Genomic DNA, 12,231 nt, shown 5'->3' on the forward strand with positions numbered 1-12,231 from the left:
AAGATGTCCGGCACCACTAATCAGCAAGGAAATGCAAATCAAAACCACGAGGTGCTGCTTCATAACCATCAGGATGATTATCATATATTTTTACAAACGAGAAATAAGTGCTGGAGAGGATGAGGAGGAATGAGCACACTCATGTGCTGTTGCTGGGAATGAAAAACGGTACAGCCATTGTGGAAGACGGGGTAGAAATTCCTCAGAAAATGAAACCCAGATTTAATTACCGTATGATCCAGCCCTTCCACTTCTGGGCATAAACCCCCAAACTGAAAGCTGGAACTCAACAGGTGCTTGTACACCCATGTACAGAGTAACATTATTCTAACAGCCAAAAGGTGAAAACAGCACCATGTCCATCTACAGATCAATGGACAAACACAGTGCCATGTGCTAACACGAACTAAATGTGGCCTGAGAAGAATGCCAGGACGTCTATGTTTGAGTCCTTGTGGACGAACTATAACCTACCTTAATAGCAGACAGGACTGAAAACCTAATTCAGGAGTCTGCGCCTGTAATAGTGGCCGAGTCTTGACCAATCCCAGCAGCCATACGTCAACCATGCGTAGACTGCCGAGTGTTCAAACTGTTCCAATAAGGCAAATGCCAACCTGGAACCAATCCAGCTGTTCTGTACCTCACTGCCGAGTTTTATATATCACTTCCCCTTTTTTTTGTCTATATATTTGTTCTGACCACGAGGAATCCCTGGAGTCTCTCTGAATCTGCTGTGATTCTGGCGCTGCCCGATTCATGAATCATTCATTGCTCAATTAAACTCCTTTAAATTTAATTCAGTTGAAGTGTTTCTTTTAACAAATGGAATATGATCCAGCCTTAAAAAAGAAGGGAGTCTGGACACAGGCTATAACACGAGGAACCCTGAGGATGTTATGCTGGGTGAAATGAGCCGGTCACAGAAGGACGAATCCCGCAGGGTGGCACTGAGGAGAGGTCTCCGGAGGGGTTGGAGCCACAGAGACAGAAAGTAGGATGGTTGGTGGCTGCCACATGCGCGCAGGGGAATCTGGACACAGGCTATAACACGAGAAACCCTGAGGATGTTATGCTGGGTGAAATGAGCTGGTCACAGAAGGACAAATCCCGCAGGGTGGCACTGAGCAGAGGTCCCTGGAGAAGTCGGAGCCACAGAGACAGAAAGTAGGATGGCTGGTGGCTGCCAGGTGCAGGGAGGGGTTGCGGAGTTCCTGTCTGATGGGGACAGAGTTTAGGTTTGGGAACTCTACATTTTAAAATGTAAATTTTACAGTATGTGTATCACAATACAAATGTATTTTTTAAAGTATAGTAGACTTTGCCTCAAAAGCCCCAGTTCTTTCAATCTAAATAAGAAAATAATGCAAAATACGCCAAAGGCTTTAAGACCCTGTTCATCCTAAGGCAACGTAACCGTTCACAAATAAAGGAATAGCTAAGTTAATTGAGGCCCGTTAACTTACTAGCATATTGTGCTACCATTAGGATGGATGGCCAGGAAGCTCCTTCAGAGGCTTGGTAAGAGAAAACCTGGAGGGACTGGAGGGGCAGAGCTGGGACGGGGCCTCCTCGAGGGGCTACGGTGCTGGGGAGGGCTGTTTCCTGATCTGGGTGTGGGTTACAGGGGTCTCGGCATTTTGTGAGAATTCAAGGAGCTGTGACATTATGTTTTATGTACTTTTCTATATGTATGCCATACATCAAAAAACATTGACTACAGTTTTAAATAAATTAAAAAATTATGGATCCATATTGGCAACTATGTAAAGACACACACTGAAGGGAAAGATGGAAAGGAACCTCCCACTGTCTACCAGAGATGGCTTAGGTGACGTCCCCGAGGCCACCACAGTGACATCCCCCCCAGGCTGCCATGGAGATGTCCCCACAAGGACTTGGGCTGACACCACAGTGTCCCCGTTGCTGGGAGGGGCAGGCAGTGGTGTCCATGGTGGCAGTGCAGGTAGATACACCATGGGTTTGCCCCAGGAGAGGACCCCCCGAGTAGCTGCTGTCCCCCCAGCAGGAACCTGAGGCGGGAACACCTGCCAAGCTGGAGACAGCGGGTCACAATGGCTTTGCTTGCGGTGACCAAATCCTCTCAGGCTGGACGCCAGCCCCCTGGGGAGTTGCGCCCTGGTGCTCACTTGGGCACTTTAATTATCTTTAGTAACAAATTCCCTTCAGCCCAGCTCACTACAGAAAGCCGTGGAGAACAACAAAAAGGAAAACCAACCCCGAGTGGTCTCTGCCGAGCCCAGATGCACGACGGGACCTCAGGCCAAGCCCACGCCAAGTCGGCCCCAAGGGACTAGGAAGAGCAGCCGCGTTTGATTTTGTTCTTCAGCTTCGCCTTTCTAACAGCAAGGACTTGGCTGTCTCTAGACAGGAGACAGACGCTGTCCAACTTATTCTAAAATTCTCTTTCACTCTTACGCTCAGACGCCCTCATGCCACAGGCAGGTTGTAAGCAAATCCAACACGGCAGATAGTAATTAAGCCTGCAGAGAGGATTTCTGTACGTCAGCACACCCAGGAGCGTATGTAATAGGAGTCTCACTCGTTTTTGTTTGCCCGTCTCTCACATAGACTTACGTTCTTACCTACGTGTGCGTTTCGTGTTCTGGACGATGGTGCACCAGCACCTGCCCTTGCAGGAGCTCCTCTTTTCTTCTTTGCTGTGGTCAGTTGCTGGGACCCAGGGGCCGAGTGGATCACGCAGCAACCTTCATCACGGGGGATCATTCTGGGGGCATGTGTGGCCTTTTCTCTGGCTTGCTCACTCCTTATCTGTATTCATTCTGTCCTCTGCATTCCTTCCTTCCTTCCTTCCTTCCTTCCTTCCTTCCTTCCTTCCTTCTTTCCTTCCTCTGTGCCCCACTTCCATTCCACTCCTCTCTCATGCACAGTCACACACGGTAGACAGTGTATTATTTAAATACATTCCTGCAGAATTTCTATTGTTGTATGTGCCTCATTTTTAACTCACGACCACGTTTTTCATGACACATCCTTTCCTGTCTTACTTTTCCCTCCACACACGCAGGTGCAGAGACCGCCCATCCACTATGCTGTTCTCGCAGTTACACCCAATCGCAACAGGTCCCTCCCCCTGCCCAGGTGGACACCAGGGGCTCCCTCTTCAGCCTCCGCAGATGCTGCTGCAGGGCTGTCTCTGTGCCTGCAGACTCATGGCCTCAAGACTTCCCCAAATCAGGCTGTAGACCTGCCCGCCAGGTCTGAACTGCCTGTGACCACAGCCATTCCCAGGTCTTCTCCGAATGGCCTCGCTGCTGGCACGGTCCTCGAGGGACATGCCCCTCATCCCCACAGCATCTTCTAAACTCCCCCGGTTCCTTCTTTTTCTGTTTTCCCCTACAAGCCTCCCGTCTGGGTGCTCAGTGCCAGCAGCTGGATCCCCCCTGCAAAGCTGCTCCTCCCCTTCGAAATCTGCAAGTCACCTGTGGGGTAAGGTGAGGCTTCGGGACTCTCCCCTTCCCCAAAATATCTGACCCAGTGATTTTAACATCCGGATCGTCCTTGTTGGGTTTGGTTATTATTCCCTTGGGGACGACAAAGCACTTTGCTAATTCTGTCATCTCTATGTTTGTTTGCCCCACTTTTTTGTGAGAAGTAGAGCTTTCTCCTCCTGACCTTCCCCACCTGTGCTCTGGTGCTATGGACCATGCACCATGGATTACACTGCCCTTTGTAATGCGTCATCCTCCATTAACGATCTTGTTCGCATTGAGGCTGAAATCAGCCAGGGCTTGCCCCTGGGACCCTGTCACTCTGACAAGTGTGGAATTTTGGGGCTTACTTGCCTCTGGGAATAAAGGACATCCCCATTCACGCTGTGTCTTTCCTGCTGCAGGTCTGGGAAGAACATTTCTACAAGGGGCCTCAGCTAGTGTTGTGCCAAACGGTGCACAGCAGTGGTTCCCAGACTCCCAGCCTCAGGACTCCCTCACTCTGAAGAGCCCCCGGGGAGCCCCCCAGCATGCTCCAGCCTAGAAAACAAAGCAGAAACTTAAACATTATGGATTAATTCATTTAAGATAAACAATACACTCCTTATATGTTAACCTAAATAATGCATTTTAGTGCAAAATAATTTTTAAGAGCAAACAATTTTACTATTACTTAGCAAATGTTTAATAGATTGGGGAAGAGGGGAGTAAGTTAATAGCTTTCTCAAATAAATATGGATTTTTTTATACAACAGCAAAACTCAACAAACTGTAGTTTCTTAAAGGTTGGTTGCAATGTGGAATATGAAACTGTAACAATAATGGTGATAGATACTGCAAGAGTTGAAGAAGAAAGAAACACGAAAAGCAGCTCAACAGTCTAAGACAGGTTTATTTTGGAGAATAAACCTGAGAGGGGCTTCTGCCCGATTTCGGTCAGGAGCCTTTTCTCTTGGAGACTAAGGGTATTTAAGAGTTCCGGGAAGGGGAGCTTATTGCAGGCTAGGAATGTTTCTGTGTGGAGGAGAGTCTTATTGCAGGACTGGAGTGTCTCTGGTCGGAAGGGAGGTTATCTCGGGGTTGGCATGTCTCTGGTCAGAGGTTTCATTTGTGATTTAAGGTCACACTGACATTAGCCATTAGGCTGATGTTTTGGGGCTGGATTTAGGCAGTTTTGAATCAAGTAGAACTCACAGGGGCGATGCTTGTCTAAGATGATGATGCTCCTGCTCCGTCAGTCCAGACTGGCGCCATTGTCTCCCTGATGGTAAATCTAGTATGGGTCTCTGTGGGGAAATGCATCATTGGCCACTGGATTTTGTACAGGGGCTTGATTATGGAGTTCATCTGCGTGGGTTTCAGCTGAACGCCAGGGGCGCCCTTTTCATCAGGAGTGAGGGTGGAGATTAGAATGATATAAATGTCATGCCATGTTAAATTAAAGGACTCAGTAATGTGCAGGAATTCCTTGCGATAATGAGAGGGATTTTCAGAGGAAGATCCCAGATGCTGTTGGATCTGCGACAAATCAGACGTAGTGAAAGGGCCATGAACACGAGCACTGCCTTCAACCCCAGCCACTCCCAGAAGAGGAAGAATGGCAGAGGTGGTTTGACTGGCTGGCGTTTCCTTTGCCTTTAATGTCCAAATACAAGGCTGGGCCCACCAGCCCCCAAGGGGCATCCAGGAGGGGCCCCACCCGATCCCCACGGACCATGTTTGAGAGAGAGGCTGGCACGGCCCCTTTCTAGAGGCCATTCTTAGCTCCGGCTGCTGCTGCCCTTCTTCGTGCCCAAGTGGCCTCTGGCTGGGCCCCAGTCTTTGGCTTCCAGGGCTTCGGCTGCAGCTGGACTGTGGTTCCTGGACTTCCTCACCCACCCTCACCACAGGAACAGGAGGGCCCAGCCTGGCCCCTTGCTTGCCCCTCCCCTTCTCATTTGCCCCCAGGTGACTGGGGAGAGAGGCTGGTTCCCTGCAGGAAGAAGACTGCCAGCCTGGCCTCCACTGGGCCTCCCGGGAGGTGGGTTACTGTGAGCCCTGTGGGGTGGTCAGGCCAGAGCCCCGGAAGGGGGTGGAGACACAAGGCCCCGAGTCCAGTCCAGTGTAAAGCAGGGGCTTCGACCTCCCTGAACACCTGGCACTGTGGGCCAAACCCCTCTTCCCAAACCCCTCATCCCATCCCCGAGGCACAGTTCTCTCCTGTTCCTCTCCTCAAATTATTCCTCCTGTGTCATGGGCTGAACTATCCGCGGCCCACGTCCATGTTGATCCTGGCCCCCGATGTGGCTGCATTTGGAGACAAGACCTTAGGGAGGTGACCAGGCCTCAATGAGATCATCAGGGCGGTCCTGACCCAATCGGACAAGAGGAGGACAAGACCCTAGAGATGCCCCTGGTACAAACAAAGGCCACAAGAGGACTCAGGGAGAAGGTGTCGTCCACAGCCTCAGGGCAAGGCCTCGATCGGGGACTCCACCTGCAGGACATGAGGATGCCAGGCTGTGGGCTTTGCTTATCCTGCTATGGGGCCCGAGCTGGCTCCTCCCCAATTCCTCCCTGGCCGTCCTTCCTCTGCCTTTCCTTCACTTGCTCTGCGACCCAGGGGCCCTTACCAGGCTCTGGATTTCAGGAGCTGGGACTCCATCATCTCATCTTGGTAGGGTCCCCACATCTCCGGTGTGCACTGAGCATCCTGGGGAGGGGGTGACCATCGAGATCTCCGGTGTGCACTGAGCATCCTGGGGAGGGGGTGACGATCGAGATCTCCGGTGTGCACTGACCATCCTGGGGAGGGGGTGACCATCGAGATCTCCACGGTGCACTGAGCATCCTGGGGAGGGGGTGACCATCGAGATCTCCGGTGTGCACTGAGCATCCTGGGGAGGGGGTGACCATCGAGATCTCCGGTGTGCACTGACCATCCTGGGGAGGGGGTGACCATCGAGATCTCCGGTGTGCACTGACCATCCTGGGGAGGGGGTGACCATCGAGATCTCCGGTGTGCACTGACCATCCTGGGGAGGGGGTGACCATCGAGATCTCCGGTGTGCACTGAGCATCCTGGGGAGGGGGTGACCATCGAGATCTCCGGTGTGCACTGAGCATCCTGGGGAGGGGGTGACCATCGAGATCTCCGGTGTGCACTGACCATCCTGGGGAGGGGGTGACCATCGAGATCTCCGGTGTGCACTGACCATCCTGGGGAGGGGGTGACCATCGAGATCTCCGGTGTGCACTGAGCATCCTGGGGAGGGGGTGACCATCGAGATCTCCGGTGTGCACTGAGCATCCTGGGGAGGGGGTGACCATCGAGATCTCCGGTGTGCACTGAGCATCCTGGGGAGGGGATGACCATCGAGATCTCCGGTGTGCACTGACCATCCTGGGGAGGGGGTGACCATCGAGATCTCCGGTGTGCACTGACCATCCTGGGGAGGGGGTGACCATCGAGATCTCCAGTGTGCACTGACCATCCTGGGGAGGGGGTGACCATCGAGATCTCCGGTGTGCACTGACCATCCTGGGGAGGGGGTGACCATCGAGATCTCCAGTGTGCACTGAATATCCTGGGGAGGGGGTGACCATCGAGGCTTCCACTGGCAGGCTGCTCCCTGTCTGTCCGTCTCCCTTCCTTTGTGTCCTCATTCAATCCCTTACAAGGATCCTGGCCTCAAGCCCCCCAAGGGAAGGGGGCAGCCCCTCATCAACTCACTGTGCCAGATACAGCTGCAGTGGAACAGAGGCCTGTGCTGAGGCAACGAGGTGGGGCTGAGCTCCCGAAGGCAGGGCCTTCCCCGACTCTCCCCCTGGCCCCTGCCCGGGGTCATGGCTGAGCTCCCGAAGGCAGGGCCTTCCCCGACTCTCCCCCTGGCCCCTGCCCAGTGTCATGGCCTCCCCTCCAGCATGTGCTCATGTTCACACACACCTGGGGCCATCACCTGTGATGAGGCTTGGCAGTTGTTATTGTAATATTTGACTTTTAACAACAGGCAGATTACCTGGGCAGGCCTGATGGAGTCAAATGACATCTTTAAAAAGAGGTTCTCCATACCAGAAGATTCTTCTGCCACCCTGAGGTCGGCTGCCAGGTTGGAGGGGCCACGGGGCTGGGACTTGGTGCCTTGAGGTGTGGCAGCGGCCACAGCATCAGCCAGCAAGGACACGGAGCCTCTGTCCTGCGGCCACACGAACAGCATTCTGCTGGCGGCCCGTGAGTCCCCACACAGAGGTCCCAGCCCGGGCTGTACTGAATCCCCACCCAAAGACACTGCGAGGCGGCAAATGGTGTCGTTTCAAGCCACTATGCCTGTGGTCATTTGTTATGCAGAAGAAGAAAATTAATTTTTTTTACAATAAAAATTTTGGAATTCAGTTTCCTCCATCCCTGGCCCTGGCCCAAACTGGGAGGGAGCAAGAGATGAAAGAATGGCTGGGACACAGCCTGCCTGGGCAGCCTCAGGACAGCGCTAAGATCCGCAGCTTTCGAGCTGCTTCCACCTGTGCTCCCTGTCTCGTTGCCGGCCATGAGCTATATGGGACTGCTCTCCTGGGTGGTTCTCGGGCAGGCTCCGGGTTCCTGGGATACCTGCTCCTCCGCTGGGTCCTGGGCGGTTCTCAGGCTAGCTCCGGGTTCCTGGGATACCTGCTCCTCCGCCAGGCACTGTGACCTTGGCTCGCTCTCAGCCTTCAGGATTCACGCAGTGGACCAAAGCCCTAAGTAACCTGGTAGGGAACTCACTGCACCACAGTATCCTGTTGAATAAGTTTTGAGGAATTTCTGACCCCTTCAAAGCTGTACCCAATATTGGTGCGAGGCGGGGCAGATGCATGCACATTTCTTATTTTGGAGCGGGTGGAACACATTCCTGCGATTCTCTGAAGAGCCCCGGGATGAGAGGACATGTCACCTGGAGAGCGCTCGGGGCAAGAGCTGCACAAAAAAGCAAAGCCCAGAACTGACCCTGTGGGCCCTGGAGTCTCCTGAACCCACCACAGTTCTGCCCTGGAGCCTGGCGGCAGCTGGGCCTGGGAAACAAATTAGAGACCGGCTTGTGCAAGCCCTCTCTTCTCAGGCTCTGCAGACACAGGCGGAGGTCCCAGGGTGCAAGCAGTACTGACAGGCTCAGATATTCTGTGTTTTTTTCCTTCTAGGCACAACTGTCTTAATATTGGCAACCTGACAATTCCTCATGCTCCTGACTGTTTCCTTCTCTGCCTGTCTTAATTGACGTGGTTTACAGAAAATAAATTACATGAACTGAATATTTTGCACTATTGTAGAAGATAAATTGATCTAATTATTATCTAACTTCAAACACAGTGGAATAAACAGATTATCATATCTATGCTGACATATTAGAGACAAGATTTATTTGCTTTTGTTTTGTAGAAGATGCATTTTCCTTTTTGGAATCAGAATGATACACAAAACGAATTAACCCTGAGCATCCCACCTGCTCGACTGTACCTCTATTCCTCAATATTCTCAGGGTCAGGAAAGTGAATGCAGAAGGTTTCGCAAAGTAAAGCCCCACAGGATCACAGAAGCAAGAAGGGAGTCTACAGGAATTCTGTGGAACCCAGGAAACGGCCACACGTGACCCACCACCCCCCGCAGTGGCAGGGATTCTGTGGAACCTACAGGGATTCTGTGGAACCCAGGAAAAGGCCACACATGACCCACCACCCCTGCAATGGCAGGTATTCTGTGGAACCTACAGGGACCCAGGAAAAGGCCACACATGACCCACCAGCCCTGCAATGGCAGGGATTCTGTGGAACCTACAGGGATTCTGTGGAACCCAGGAAATGGCCACATGTGAACCACCATCCCCTGCAAGGGCAGGGATTCTGTGCAACCCAGGAAAAGGCTACACATGACCCACCACCCCTGCAATGGTGCATTCACTTGCAGGGGATGGAGAAGGTGGAGATGGTTCATCATTAAAAGACACAAATGGGACGTTAAGAATAGTAAAATTATGAGTCTGCCAATATTGAATTTATTTTCATATTTGCAAAGCATGTGCTATTAATTAAGAAGCATTTAGGCCGGGTGCAGTGGCTCATACCACTAATCCCAGCACTTTGGAAGGGTGAGACGGGTGGATCACCTGAGGTCGGGAGTTCAAGACCAGCCTGACCAACATGGAGAAACCCTTTCTCTACTAAAAATACAAAATTAGTCATGTGTGGTGGCATATGCCTGTAATCCCAGCTACTTGGGAGGCTGAGGCTGGAGAATCGCTTGAACCTGGGAGGTGGAGGTTGAGGTGAGCCGAGATCACACTATTGCACTCCAGCGTGGGCAACAAAAGCGAGACTCCATCTCAAAAAGAAAATAAAAATAAAAAATAAAAAAAGAAGCATTTAAACGGGAGGTTTGCAGGCTGGTGCCTCTGAGATCCCAGGTTCCACAAGGCCATGGAGGTTCTCGATGGAGGCAGGAGTCCGGCTTGGACACCACTGCAGCACAGGTTCTTACTGTGGGAAGAGCGGCTCCTGGCCACTCCCACGCCTCACAATGACTTCGGAGTTAGGGGAAGAGAAGGGAGGGCAGGGGCGGGCAGGGCGCCCTGCAGACAACCACAGCTCCCCTGATGCCAAAAGACGGTGAAGCAGCGGCGCCTGCAGCTCCTGCCTCATGTGTGGCCTCCTGGGAACACCCTGTCTGGAGCAGCCTGCGTCCTGTCCTCGGGTGACGCTGGGAAGAGTGGCGTCCGCTGCCACATGCCTGTGCTCCAGGGCCTACAACCTGCATCAAGACGGGGACACTGCAAGGCCACCAGATCCAAGGGGACTATTTCCAGAGCCAGAAACATCCCTGTTTCACCTGCTTCCAGAAGGTTCCAACATGTAGAAGAGACGTCTCTTAGGGACCTGGAGGGAAGTGGCAGGACAGGGGCCGGCGGGGACGCCAAGGCTTCCTTCCCCTCCCTCCATGCTGCCCATCTGAGCATCAGCTTTGGGCAGGGGTGGTCTGGGCTGATGTTCTCCAAAGACAGACAGAAGAGGACAGCAACACTTGAGCAGCCACCTCCACCCGTCAGAATGGCCCTGATCAGCACTGGGGGAGTGGGGAGCCCAGCAGCCCGCCTGACACCCCCTCAGAACATCACCGTCACCAGGCGACCGTGCAGTTCCACTCCCTAGAGGAAGAGAGATTGGCACCCACACAGCGTCTGGGACACGGATGCTCACAGGCGGGACAGGCGGGACAGGCAGGACAGGCGGGACAGGGCACACATGGGTCCTGGAAGACACAGAGGGATGCTCTCACCACAAACAGGACGAGTGTGGTGGCCCCAGCAAACGCATGTGGTACCTTGAATCATGCACCTAAAATGACTAAAATGAGCTGTATGTATGTTTTACCACAATAAAACCCTTTCATAGATAGAGGCACCTGCCCTCACAAAATGCTGTACCAATTGACTGATGGTTTTTTTTTTTTTTATTTTGAGCTGGAGTCTCGCTCTGTCGCCCAGGCTGCAGTGCAGTGGTGCGATCTCAGCTCACTGCAAGCTCTGCCTCCCAGGTTCATGCCATTCTCTTGCCTCAGCCTCCAGAGTAGCTGGGACTACAGGCGCCCGCCACCACGCCCGGCTAATTTTTTGTATTTTTAATAGAGATGGGGTTTCACCGTGTTAGCCAGGATGCTCTCGATCTCCTGACGTTGTGATCCGCCTGCCTCGGTCTCCCAAAGTGCCAGGATTACAGGCGTGAGCCACCGCACCCGGCCTGACTGATGCTTTTAACACTTAGTAATACCAAGAACTGACGACTGCTTCTATGACAGAAAAGAAAATCGAAACAGGAAAAACAGGTACCTGATATGATTCACAAAGTAGAGAAGAGAAAAAAAACTCAACTATATTCAAACTACTTAAACTAGAACATTTTAATACCCAGAAAGCATTCTTAAAGCAGAGACTTTCAGATACAAGGTGATTCAAAACTTCATAAAAATATATGAGCTTCAAACTATACATTTAACTTAACAGAATGTCCATTTTCAATTTTTACAATAAGTAGAGAAACAGAATCAAGTTTTATGTAGTAATTCAAGATATATATAATTGCAAATAAGTGAAAAATTTCCATTTTACCCCAATTTCTCATCTGAAGCCTCAGATGGCATCTTGCCCACCAGGAACAAACACGTGAATAAATAATATGGCATAAATGTCTTTCAAGTTCCCAGAGAACTAACTCTAAGCCCATCTCACATTTGTCTTTTAAGTTTTTTTGTTAAAGAGGAGCTGTTCTTAAAGAGATATTCCATTTTAGTCACTGCTCTTCTCAGGAAGGATATGTGTGATCCAGTAACTAAAGAAAGCTGAGATTACTCTGGCATGGTCTAGAAAGCAAAAAACACAAAACAAAAAATAAAACAAAGACAAAAAGAAAAATCATAAGTTATTATTATGTAGACACGAGCCTTTGGGCCCAAAGTGAACTCCCAAATAATCTAATAAAATGCAACTTTGGCATGAAACTGATGTTGAAAGTGACACATTATACTTGTTAATCACACATTACATAATCAGTATGGCAACACAGTGGCTCAATTCTGAATATTTGTATTTCACTGGGGTGTGAACCCTTGGTTCACTGGCTCTATTACACCTTAACTTCAAAACATCACATTGCAATATTATAGGCTTAACATCAGACCTGGAAGAAAACCCACATATAAACCGAAATGAAAATGAAATAGAAGTTTATCTCAAGGGTGAGCAAGTAGAAAAAAGCCAGA

The 12,231-nt window shown here is 51.2% G+C and overlaps 2 protein-coding genes across 26 annotated transcripts in view, besides 2 other annotated features; both read right to left on the reverse strand.

Annotated features, from left to right (window-relative positions):
• Positions 1-12,231, reverse strand: part of ERICH1 (glutamate rich 1) — a 116,479-nt gene that overhangs the window by 38,099 nt on the left and 66,149 nt on the right. For 3 of the 25 annotated variants that reach the window (NR_156467.1, NM_207332.3, XM_011534731.4), the window contains one exon: positions 11,356-11,832. The exons of 18 other annotated variants lie outside the window; for them this stretch is intronic. Coding sequence is in view for 5 of the 7 variants with exons in the window: in NM_207332.3 (NP_997215.1) it covers positions 11,759-11,832 (74 nt within the window). In the remaining 2 variants the exon portion in view is untranslated. Of the gene's footprint in view, positions 1-775; positions 4,014-10,908; positions 11,263-11,355; positions 11,833-12,231 lie in introns of those variants that run through there. 4 more of the 25 variants (XM_047421402.1, XM_047421397.1, XR_007060709.1 and 1 more) reach the window with 3 other exon arrangements.
• On the reverse strand, positions 6,117-7,118 carry LOC124902053 (uncharacterized). Its single transcript, XM_047422538.1, has one exon. The coding sequence runs from the start codon at positions 7,116-7,118 to the stop codon at positions 6,117-6,119; it is 1,002 nt and encodes a 333-aa protein (XP_047278494.1).
• Positions 9,605-10,106: an enhancer, noted in NCBI's record as "H3K4me1 hESC enhancer chr8:612449-612950 (GRCh37/hg19 assembly coordinates)". NCBI's record gives its function as "activates a minimal SCP1, AML or CMV promoter by ChIP-STARR-seq in primed H9 embryonic stem cells {active_cell/tissue: H9 hESC(primed)}" and the evidence as "EXISTENCE:reporter gene assay evidence [ECO:0000049][PMID:30033119]".
• Positions 11,364-11,423: an enhancer, noted in NCBI's record as "active region_26944". NCBI's record gives its function as "activates an Ori minimal core promoter by ATAC-STARR-seq in GM12878 lymphoblastoid cells {active_cell/tissue: GM12878}" and the evidence as "EXISTENCE:reporter gene assay evidence [ECO:0000049][PMID:35858748]".

The sequence above is a fragment of the Homo sapiens genome, chromosome 8 (genome assembly GCF_000001405.40).
Source record: "Homo sapiens chromosome 8, GRCh38.p14 Primary Assembly".
Classification (NCBI taxonomy): domain Eukaryota; kingdom Metazoa; phylum Chordata; class Mammalia; order Primates; family Hominidae; genus Homo; species Homo sapiens.